Here is a 12,883-nt window from a genome sequence, read left to right as displayed (position 1 = left end):
GAAGGGACTTCCCTGACAAGGAAGACTGGATGGAGCCTCACTTCCATTAGTGCACAATTTTGGGCTAGACAGGGTGATTGAGTTAGAGGAGACTGCTGGGAGGAGGCTGATCCCTTGGGTTTCTGTCCCCTAACCTACTGCTTACCTCAGGAATCACCGTCAGGACTTTTATCTGTTCCCAACTCCTGCCTATGATGAAGTAGGTTCCCCAAGCTGGAGAAGATAAAATCATCTTTCTGAGGAGATAACATCAATTCCAGGTGGAATATGGTTCAATCTACTTTACTCAGTCCATCTAACTATTAATAATTGATACATTTAGATCCTAGGTTCTAATTGGGCTCCTTGCTCTATTCAGGAATTATGATTTATTTTCACCCTAAATACTGTACATCATTATGAGTTTTTTATTGTTATTATAAATTTCACATGCTCATGATAATCCAACAAGTGGATTACCTACTAAAAAAATTGAAGGAAAAGCAGAAAGAGAAAAGAATATAATTGAGAAGCACTAAAAGCACTTAGCAGAGAAAACATATTTTTCCTGCTAAAAATGCTGAGGGATGCCTCCTGCAAGATGAAGTACATTTTCCAATTCTCTGAAGTGTCAAAGTTCTAAGATAAGTCAGGCTGTTCCTGTCCAAAATTCCTGTAAGGGGAATTTATAGCCTGACTTGTTTACCCTGAGAACAGATATCAGATAAACCCTTAGGAACAGAGACAAAAGAGAAGAAAGAAAATGATGGTTAGAGAAACAGATGCCAGAGGTTCACAGAAAGGGATGGAGCTGTTAAGGGATGGAGCTGTTTGTGGGTGATAGTCACAAAGTTTCCAGAGGGTCAGGGATGGGTCTGGGGCACACAGCAAAGAGTCACACGCTCCAGAGACCAGAAAGGGAGTAATGTAGGCAACTCCACTTGGGATTAAAGTAAATAAGTTAGAGAGACTAAATGCTACTCAGGAAAGACAGCAGCAAGAGTACAGGGTATTGGGAAAGAGGGCTCTACTGGCAATCCAGAGACCTGAAACTTAGACTCAGCTTTGATTCACAAAATCTATCTGTATGTAAATCTCTCTTCATCTTTAAAATATAAGCAGATAGACTCTATTTTTTAGAGATTTTTTTAAAAGAATTTTAATCTTTTTTGTAGAGTCAAGGTCTCCTTCTGTTGCCCAGGCTGGAGTGCATTGGCACAGTCATAACTCACTGCAGCCTTGAACTCCTAGGCTCAAGAGATTCTTCCACCTCAGCCTCCCAGAGAGCTGGGACTACAGACATACACCACCACTCCTGGCTAACTTTCAGAAAAACTTTTTAGAGACAATATCTTGCTATGTTTCTCAGGCATTTTTTTTCAGGGTTTTCTCCAGCTCTGGCATTCTACAATGCTGTGAACAGTTGGTAGTTTTATGTCTAAGTTTCTTCCTTTGGTACCTGAAAGTATGCCAACGTGGCTTCCAAAGGTCTCTCCTCTTTTGACAACAAAGGGGTGTGAACTCAGATCATCTCTGTGAGTTAGAATGTAGTAAAAATAGGAGAAAGGTCCAATAGATCCCCCAAACCAAAAAAGAAAAAAAAAAAGAGGTATGAGATGGAACCTGAATGTATTGTTTTATAAAATAATACACACAACTTTCTTTAAAATGAAATATTTTCTATAGAAAGATAATCTAAACCTCCATCAAGAGGACAGCAAAATAAAGGGGCAGGGCCTGCAGGATGGAGGTGCCATAATCATTAATTATCACAACAGTACTATTGAAAGTTAATATGAGCTCCTGAAGCAACTATGAATAATGGAAAACATTTCAGGGGTTAGAGCCAGCCAGGTTGGTTCTAAAGGTGAATTTTTAACTCCCTCAGAAGTTTCAGCATCTACAAAAACTTTCAGAAGATCATACTAAAAACATAGCAGAAATCTTTCACTGTAACTCAAGTTTCTCCTTGAATAGCTAAGGGATGCAGCATATTTTCCCTTTTTCTAAGGTGACAAGACTCTTCAATGAAAATATCAAGAGGTGCCTATTCAGAAATTTTTCCAGGAATATTTACAGACTTGGCAGTTTGCCCCTAAAAATAAAAAAAAAAAATAAATAAACAAATAATTTAAAAAGAAAAACCTTCTTCAGAGTTTCTCTGAAACAGGAAAGGAAACTTTTTATTTAATTTGGCATGTCCTTGCTTCCTGCAAATGCATGGTTTATGATTAGAACAAAAAGAGTTTCTAAGTTGAAAGCTCTCAGTTTTAGTAGGCTGAAACTTTTGCTCTTGACTGTGAGAACCAAGACAGGACACCTGCACATTATCTCCATGCTATTCATTGTATAGCCTCAAATGAAACTGTTTTGAAATGGAAATTCTTGTTTGGTATCTTTCTCTGGCACATATTATTTAAATTTTCCAAAAAAGTAAAAAGGGGGAGTTATTAAAATTAAAAAGTGTTGCATATCTACTTCCTTTCTGGGCATAGAATTCCAAGCTTCTATAGCTGAAAATCTTCAATCGTTATTAAGATTCTTGCTTATGCATGAATTGATCAGTAACTGAGTTACAAGGATAGAAAAATATCTTTGGCATGGATGAGCTATTCCACCGAGTTGTAGAGACGCATGTGTCATCCCTACTGATGGTCAGGCAAGACCCACAGGGCTATTTAAATTTTCCTTTGAAAGTACTCCATGCTCAGAAATCCCTTTCCTAAAATTTATATTAAAACAGAGTTATACTTACTTTATTGAGGATAGAATTTCTTATGATTATTATTTCTGAGCCCACGGCCAACTTTGACAAACACGTTCATTTACCAGAGATAATAATGTGTGATTTTCTCTTTTAATGAAAGATAAATAATTTGGCAGTCTTGGCTTCATGAATTTTTCTATTTCAATACACTTCATTGTATAGTGTGGTGTCCTTTATTCTTGAATGAGTTAATGTGCAGAATGAAAGTGCTTTCTTTAGATCAGTTGTGCTATTTTCTGTAAGGCACTGCTATTCATACCACAGGTTTACAAAAGACCATTAAAGGCTGATATTACGATATTACGTTAAGTTCTGCTCATAATGATGTAGTTCTTTGTTTATAACTTACATAATTCGCTGTAGTGTCAAAGCTTCATCAAATTGGAACAAAAGAAATAGGAAGTACATTTCTGGGACTCTAAATAGAATAAACAAGCTTTGACCAACTCTATTTTTTATTGTGTTTCTTTGAATTAATGCAGAAGCTGTTTCCAAGTCTCAATATAAGAAGAGCAGTGATTTGTTTTATTATCTAAGATGGTATATATATGTGTGTGTGCTTAATATTTTAAAGGTAAAGCCCATATAGGAGAATTGCAGGAGTATATGACTCCAACCTATTGGATATTTCCTATCACAAACTCCTGATTAAGTTTGAATTCATACTGGATTCTCTATAATATAAAATATTTGCATTTAGTCTCAAGAGAGAGAAATTGAACTACAAGGCAGAAATACAGTAAATCATCCAATCCACTTCTTTCTTCATATTATACTGTCTAAAATAACTTGCTTTGATGATAGAAATATTCTGTATCTGCCCCGTTCAGTATGGTAGTCACCAGCCACATGTGAGAATTAAGCACTTGACATATAGCTAGTGCTACAGAACAACTGCATTTTAAATATTATTTAGTTTTTATTTTATTAAATTTAAGTAGCTATCTATGGCTAATGGCTATTGTATCAGACAGCATAGATTTACAATAATAAAAGTGATAGAAGGAGGTCTGCCGATCCGCTCCACTCCAAGGACCACCAGCCACCTCTCCTGTCTCACTCTAGGTACATTGCTCCTGAAGTTGTACATGCACACAGTCTATAGCCTTACATGATGATCTGCAGAGGGTTCTATAATTGGATGGAAAGGGATGGATACCTCACTTTCCTCCTCCATCAGGAAATTAGGACTAAACTCATTAGGCTCACAGCCAACACCCTGGAAATCTTTAAATCTCCTCCATCCCACTCCACTGTGAAGCTCAAGTTACATCTGGAACTCTTCAATGTTACGATATCACTTCCTTCTACCACCTCCTCCTTTAAGTATGTACATTTAAATCACACTTTGACTACAGTTTGGTTACTAAGAGAGTAGGGTGGGAGGCAAGAGTGCTTTCACAACAATCTGCTCTACATCAAAGGTAGACACATTTTAAAAATGCAAACCATACTCATGTTCAACTTCATAATCTGATCTTGGCTTGTATGCTTAACAGGAATGTCAGAATGCCTATTCTGACATTATAAAAAAAATCCCAAATACATGATAGAATAATTTCTCCTTAATTCCATTCTCCCCCTGATCTTCTCCATCTCAGTATGTGCTATCACCATTTACCCAGTTGCACAGGCCCAAAACAAAATTAGTTTTTCTGTCCATGATCTCTCCAACTACCGTCTATATCTAATCCATCAGTAAGTCTTGTTGGCTCTGCCTTCAAAACGTATCCAGAATCTGATCCTCCTCCACAAACTACTACTCTATCTTACCAAATCTATTGCAAAAGACTTGTCACTCTCTGCATCTATCATTATATCCTCCCTTGTTCTCTATAATCTTTTAGCCATACTTCACAGTGGGAAGGCACTAATAAATATGCCATGTGAGGTCTTTAAATCTAAACCCTAACTACCTTTCTGAACTCATCTCAACTCATGTCCTAGCCTGGTGCCTCTTTCATAGTCTTCTTGTTGCTCCTCAAACACGCTAAGCTCATACCCCCCTTAAGACTTTCGCTTACTCATCACAGTCTGGAATGCTCTTCCCTACATCTTCTCATAACTCACTCCCTCACTTTGGTTTCCCCTAATCACTGTCACATCTCATCCTCTATATTCTTACTTTACTTAATCTTCTTCATGGCACATATCGTTACACAAAATTATATTATTTCATTATTTGACTTTGGGTATTTTAAATCTTGTGTTTTCCCAGAAGAATGTTCCCATGAAATCAAAAATCTTGTGTATCTTATCTACAGGTCTCATTTCAAGAACTAGAAGAGTACCCGGAACAGGTGCTCAAAATACTTATTGAATAGGTTAATAAAATTTGCTTATGCCACTCATCCAAACACATGCACCCAGAGAATCACAGCTACATGCCACAGTTAGATACCCCATAGACACACTCAGAAAGATATCTGTACCACAAACAATACATAGTCACACTTCTTAAAACTTTCAGAGGTTTCTCATAGTTTTAATGATAAAGACAAAAACTTCTAACATGGGTGACAATATTTAGCATGATATGGTTTCCACATACTTCCCCAACATCATCTCAAACCATACTCTATCCTTCTTAGTCTTTTCACTCTAGCCACACAAACCTTCTTGCTATTCTTTGTACTCAACAGATTTTTTCATACTAAAATAACTTTTATATAGTCACTACTTGGAAGGCTTCTCTCTTTCTTCTTGCATAACTTAATTTCTACTGATCATTAATATATTAGAACAAGTGTTCTTTCCCCATGGGAAGATTGGCTGATCTCTCTAAACAGCTCAAATCTTCTAGTTATGCATGAGACTCCCATAAATGAATAAATAGATGAATGAATATTGACGAAGTTGCTAATGATACTAGGCCTCTAGATACATCTGAGTATTGAAACTTTATCTTTACTTGCTGCTGTAGTATTTCAAATTAATTAAAACTCTTGTGTAGCTGCACATCAGTCACATTCCCCCAACTGCAAGAGATGTAGTCAGGGAGATGAAATGGACCAGCAGGCTTCGCATGCTTTCCATCACCATAATGGTGACAGAGATAAAGTTGACATTGCAGAAGTTACCAGAGCTTTTATTTACCTACGGATATTTACTGTGTTCCCCCAGGACAGCCAGTAACATCATTTACTTCAGATAAGGTATGTTTGACAATGCAGTGAACATTAAAAGGAAAAGTGCCTGGGTAAAATGAAAACAACACTGTGTCCTGGAAAGGGGAAGAGATGGATGGGCTATACATAAATGTGAGTTTATTAAACATCAGGAATGACAATCACAATAAGACTTGGCATGGAGTATACTGTCATTTTCATGAGTGTATCTTCTAAATATCATTTATGAAAAGAATTCAAGTGACAAGGTTATTAGAAAAAATAAAAGGCATATACTGTAACATGAGAGCTTAGATTTCTTGGAGTACTAATTAGTCAAACAGATGCATATATTCATTGATTCAAAAAGGAGAGAGTTATGCCTCCATAATTTCAGACACAAACCTTCAGATCACTGAGCAACTTGCAGGTCATTAAGCAAAATTCTCCAGGTACCTATACTGGTTCTTCCATGTCTAAGTGGGAAGCAGAGCTCTTGGGGCATAGGGAACAACAATCACAATATCCAAGGTTGTCATGGGATTAGTCTGCACTCAGACTCTGCTATTCTGCACATGATCATGTGTGTCTAAAAGAGAAAATCCAAATGTCCTCAAAGTAAAAGAGAGCCAATAGCCAGAATGTCTGTCACACAGCAAATAAGGCCAAGTGCTTCATTAGACTGTAATTCAGTTTATGTCCTTTCTGTCATCCTTAATTAACTGTGATTGAATCTACCTACCTCACACCAATAAAGGATTCATTTCTACTTCTGTCATCAGCTTTACTTGTGAATTTTTCTGTAGAGACAGCCCTACTGTCACCCAGCCAAATGGCCACCTGTCCACTCAGCTGAGACTCTCACTCAAACACGGTTGTGCCCTCACTCAGGAGCACATCAGCACTTGGTAGCTCATCAGAAAACTGACACTGACATTACCTGAGCACTTTCTAAGTCAGCTACTTTTAAAGGGGCAACTCAAAAGATCTCAAACGGAGCCAAACAATAACACTTTTAAAGCTTCCTAGCATAAAAACAATATATGCTACTTTTCATTTGTCATAAGACATGTAAGAAGATAACATAGATTAAATTTTCTTAATCATCAGAAAGCCTATATTGAATCATAAAATTCCAATTCCAACCTTTGTTTTGCAGGTTCCAGCTTGGATCTTTCTATATGGTCATTTCAAAGAATGTACTTTTCATTTTCAAAACGATTACAACCAACCCTTGAACAATGAAGGGGTTGGGGTTTCCAGCCCCTGCCATAAAAAATCCTCATGTAACTTTTAACACCCCCAAAATGTAATTACTATTAGTCTGCTGTGGACTGGAAACCTCACCAATAACAAACAGTTGATGAACACATTTTCTATGTCATATGTATTATATACTGTATTCCTACAATAAAGAACATGTTAGAAAATCATAAGGAAGAAAAATAAATGTACAGAACTACACTTTATTCATTGATGCTGTAAGTTTATGTCATCTGTTTACAAGATAAATAATCTGTTTGAAATGGTGGCCACTGCAGCTGCAAACCTCAATCTATGATACATATCAAGTAATTGAACTTTTTATTGTAATGTCACGACTTTTCTCTGCTTCTTGGGAGCACTCCCAGAAACACTAGTGACACTTTATGTGGGTCCCATGGTGTTATTTAAAGTATTACAGTAAACACAATGAAAAATATGCAAGAACTTGGAGAGATCAATTTTACTGAGACACACAATTAACTGGAGAGAAGAACTGCACAAAAAGAGATAATTATTGTCACATGGCATGTAAGCAGATCCTTGCAATACTTGAGATCACCACAATAGCAACAGGAGATAGCTATGAAATTATTACAGTAGTATGGTGTGTACTGCAGTAAATTGCACTCAGTCATGATTTAATACCGCATCTTTATATTTCTTTACATTTCTCTCAACTGCAAATAGCACCATGTCTGTAGGTGTTTGTATAAGTTTTGATAAATTTTAAATTTTCATAATAGACTTGTGTATTTTTATGATAGTAAATGCTAAAATAAACTAGTATCTACATCTATTTTATGAATTGACAGCACAACTAAGTTTTCCTTTGTTTTTTTTTTTTTTTTTTTGAATCTCTAGGCTACAGGATTCATCTGTGAGTTTTTTTCAAATTTTCACAAATTTCCAAATAATTTTTCAATATGTTTATTGCAAAATATCAAGGTAAAAGTGTACAAACACAGTACAAACTCATGTTATTCAAGGATCAACGGTAATGTCAGTTCTAACACAAAAAGTTGTATTTATGTAATAAATATTTATTATACAGACACCTCTTTAAGTACATGGGTTTAACAGTGAAGGAGATAATCTCTGTTTGCAATTTAATAGTTTAACATTTAACTACAGAGATGTGAATATGTTGTCATATTGCAAAGTAATAAATGCTCTCATAGGAGTGAAAGCAGGGCTTAGGGAGGTAAGTGACAATCACTGGACTTTGCCTTAGACAATCATGAAAACCTTTCTTGAAGTTTCAGCTGAGATCTGAACTAAACCCTTGAGTTTGGCAGCACGGAGAGTAGCTTTGGAGGGAACAGGCAGGAAAAGATCTAGACAGAACAATGTGTTATCTTGTAGTAGGAATATAAAAATTAAACAATGTCCTGATATTCTGGGAATTACCAGGATAAAAACTAGATTAAAGAGACTCAAAACTGTCATTTTCACATGGGAACAGAGATAAACATATACGTGACGTTCTCCCATGGGTATAACCGTCATGTAGGTGAGGTTTGTAGTGAGTTGAGGTCAAGTTTCATTTCTTAGATTATATTTAAACTGCCACCTGAAGCAACAACAACAGAGGTCAACAGAGAATATTAGTCAGGTGTGGTAGTGCACACCTGTAGTCTTAGCTATTTGAGAGGCTGAGGTGGGAGGATTGCTTGAGCCCAGAAATTTGAGGTTAAAGTGAACTATGATCACACCACTGCACTACAGACTGGATGATGCAGTGAGACCCTGTCTCTCTCTTTTTTTTTTTTTTTTTTTTTTTTTTTTTGAGATGGAGTCTTACTCTGTCGCCAGGCTAGAGTGCAGTGGCATGATCTTGGCTCAGTGCAACCTCCCCCTCCCAGATTCAAGCAATTCCCCTGCCTTAGTCTCCTGAGAGTAGCTGGGACTACAGACATGTGCCACCATGCCCAGCTAATTTTTTGTATTTGAATAGAGACAGGTTTTCACCATGTTGGGCAGTATGATCTCCATCTCCTGACCTGGTGATCTGCCTGCCTCAGCCTCCCAAAGGGCTGGGATTACAGGCGTGAGCCACTACACCCGACAATCTCTGTCTCTTAAAAAAAAATTGGAGCTCAACTCTTCAACAAGGACATAAAAACATAAAATCTTTATAACAGACAGGGAAATAACTTTCCTGCAGACTCAAAAATTTGGCAAGTGAAATAGGGCTTACATTAAAAATAATGGAGGCCAATGAACACAAACGTCAATTTATTATATTCTTTCTTCTTTATCACATGTAAATACTTATTTCTTAAATCAACATCTATTTCCTGCAAGATACTTGGCTAGGCAAAAGATTTTTAATGAGCAAAATGACATCAATTTTCCAAAGAAACAGATGAAGAAAACAATATTTTCCATGACACGTCACAACTTCTGCAACAAAAGAGGACACAGGAGATAGATGAGAACAAGGACTCAAGTGGCCCACTTGAGACAGAGAGGAGTTTTGAAGCTACTGAGAAGAGTTTTACACTAACTTTCTTAAATAATGCTTAGGAATTGCCAGTGGGTCAGCTGGGCTGTGAACTTCAGGCCAGGGAAGGTCACAGGCAAACACATACAGTAGGGGCTCCAACCCCTGGGCCACAGACGGGTATCAGTCTGAGGCCTGTTGAGAACTGGGCTTCACATCAGGAGGTGAGCGGCTAGCAAGTGGACAAAGCTTCATCTATATTTACAGCCACTCTCCATCACTGGCATTACCTCCTGAGCTCTAACTCCTGTCAGATCAGCAGCAGCACTGGATTCTATTAAGAGCAAATACAAACCCTATTTGAAGTGCACATGTGAGGGAGCTAGGTTGCGAGCTCCTTATGAGAATCTAGTGCCTGATGATCTGTCACTATCTCCCATCACCCCCGGATGTGACCATCTGATTGCAGGAAAACAAGTTCAGGGCTCCCACTGATTCTACTTCACGGTGAATTGCATAATTATTTCACTATATATTACAATGTAATAGAAATAAAGTGCTCAACAAATGTAATGCACTTGAATCATCCTGAAACAATTTCCCCCCACCCCAGTCTATGGAAAAATTGTCTTCTACAAACCCAGTCACTGGTGCCAAAAAGGTTGGGGACCACTGACACAGAGGCATGAGAAGGCAGATTGTCCAGGATCACTCAAGTGTAGTGGAAGAATTTAAACAGAGTAATCCAGAGGGCAAATAGAAGTTCAGGTTCAGGCCCCTAATGGTCCACCGCAGAATACAGTGACAGCTTACTAAGGCAGTGACAACTGGGACGGAAAGGAGAGAATACATGAGATGTTTAGAAGGTAGAATTAACACAAATTGTTGAAATTGAGCAATGGTGAAAATAAACCCTCACCCGTAATTCAGGACTCGCTCATATTAACTATGAATACATTCATGAAGAAAATTGAATAATGTATTTGAAATAACTGTGCCATCAGGACATATGGCTACTGTAAACCAAAAATTACCTCTGACTTAAATGGCCACTAATTATGTGGCACAACTTCTTTTTCAAGAACTGAGAAGGGATGAAAACACACACGCACACACACACACACACACACAAGCAAATTACAATGAAAAGAGGTACATGTTGGGGTGGAAGGAACAGTAAAATCCTTTGAACCATTCAAATACCTACATGATTTTATAAACCACCTTCCCGTATACTATTTGGTGAATTATCATTAAAAATCTCAAGCAAATCAGGCAGGAACATCATGAAAAAGTCAAATGATTGCAGGTAAAGAAAATTGTTTTAAATAAATGTAGCTTCACTAAACAAAATCTGCTTAATAATTTTGGCTGAAAGCTGCAGATAATATGTAGCAATAGGAGCAGGGAACTTAACATCTCTGCCAAGCAAAAAGAAACAATTCAGCAAGCAACAGTGAACTGATATGCACTAAATAAACAACCAGGCAGAAACACCGCTGTGAGAAAGAGCTTTTTATATAGCTAAGCCAAGCTGGATGGCTTAGAGTTGGAGAAAGAAGTGCTAAATATGTAACAGCCTGGGGCCTCGCTGGACCCAAATAATAGTTATTTCTGAGTAGGTCAAGCAAAAGTCAATAAAAAGGAAAGCAGGAATGGCTGTTGGGTTCATAATAGGACAATAATGCCCTTCTGGGAAAAATGTGAGTTTCAAATAGCCAGAATCGAATACTTAAGTTTCAAATGCTTTATCATAGACCACCAGTTCTGGAAATATCAGTAGAATAGCTAGAAAATAGGTAAATTCTGCCAACCAGAATAATCCCTAATACAGATTCCCTAAGCCAGTGTTTTTAACATGAGTAGAAGAATCACCTGCAATGGAATTACAAGGAAGCTTATTTAGTGGAAATTCCTGGATACCAGCTCAGACTTACCACATCAGAATTTCTAAGGAAGAGGCCTGGTAATTTAATTTTTAATTAAATTTTCAAAAGATTCTTCTGTCTTCTAACACCAGAGAACTTTTATTTTTGCGTATTTTGCATTTTGCTTTGCTTTCAAATGCCATCGTTCACAGATTAGATTCGTCAGAGAGAGAAAGGGAGATAGAAAGGGAGGGAGGGAGATCCGATAGATATATAGCCAATTTCTGGCCCAATTTTTCTTTTGCAGCAAGCAAAGGCTAAAGTAACACTCTGTAACACTTTATAACACTTTATAACACTCTATAAAGCACTAATTAGAAAACAGGTTATTCTGAGATAAAAGAACGTACAGCGAACAATTACTTTATAATCAAGTGTCAGATTGTATGGAGCAGAACATGCCCACTGTATTAGTCTGTTCTCACACTGCTACAAAGATACTACCTGAGACTGGGCAATTTATAAAGAAAAGAGGTGTATTTGTCCGTTTTCACGCTGCTGATAAAGACATAACCCAGACTAGGCACTTTACAAAGGAAAGAAGTTTAATGGAGAACTCACAGTTCCACGTGGCTTAGGAAGCTTCACAATCATGGCAGAAGGCAAAGAGGAGCAAGTCACATCTTACGTGGACAGCGGCCAGAAAGAAAAAAAGAGCTTGTGCAGGCAAACTCCTGTTTATAAAGCCATCAGATTTTGTGAGCTTAGGAACAGCATAGGAAAGACCCTCCCACCGCGTCCCTCCCACAACACGTGGGAATTCAAGATGAGATTTCGGTGGGGACACAGCCAAACCACATCAAGAGGTTTAATTGACTCACAGTTCCGCATGGCTGGGAGGCTTCAGGAAACTTCCAATCATGGCAGAAGGCTAAGGGGAAGCAAGTCACATCTTAAATAGTGGCAGGAGAGAGACAGAGTGAAGAAGGAAGAGCCACTTTTAAAACCATCAGTTCTCCTGAGAACTCACTATCAAGAGAACAGCATAGGGGAACCACCCCCAGGATCCAATCACCTCCCATCAGGTTCCTTCCTTGATACATGGGGATTACAGTTCAAGATGAAAGCCTAACCATATCACCCACAAAGGTGAATCAGAAGCTGGACTTCTCTGTGATTTCTTCCATTCTTCAGTATTCCTGAATCCCTTCCAGTAAAGTTTCTATACAACAATCTATCAGTAAGGCATTATCATTTAACAAACCTTTTAAAAATTATACAGGAAAACATTTGTTGAAGAATTTGGGATAGTATCATCTATAAAAATTTACTTAAGATGATTTTTTTTCCTTTGCTGGTAGGAGAGAAAGCAAGATAATAAATGCACTTAGTAGAATATCATAGTAAACAAATTGTTTAAAGATATATACTTTACTCTCCCGTAAGACTATGC

The 12,883-nt window shown here is 37.6% G+C and overlaps 1 long non-coding RNA gene across 1 annotated transcript in view; it reads right to left on the bottom strand.

Annotated features, from left to right (window-relative positions):
* Positions 1-12,359, bottom strand: part of LINC02147 (long intergenic non-protein coding RNA 2147) — a 535,702-nt gene extending 523,343 nt beyond the window's left edge. Inside the window, exon 1 of the long non-coding RNA NR_104997.1 lies at positions 12,312-12,359. This is a non-coding gene — a long non-coding RNA (long intergenic non-protein coding RNA 2147). The remainder of the gene's footprint in view (positions 1-12,311) is intronic.
* Between the last annotated feature and the right edge of the window lie 524 nt (positions 12,360-12,883).

Source organism: Homo sapiens, chromosome 5, assembly GCF_000001405.40.
Source record: "Homo sapiens chromosome 5, GRCh38.p14 Primary Assembly".
Classification (NCBI taxonomy): Eukaryota; Metazoa; Chordata; class Mammalia; order Primates; family Hominidae; genus Homo; species Homo sapiens.
This window is presented reverse-complemented; position numbering and strand designations above follow the sequence as displayed.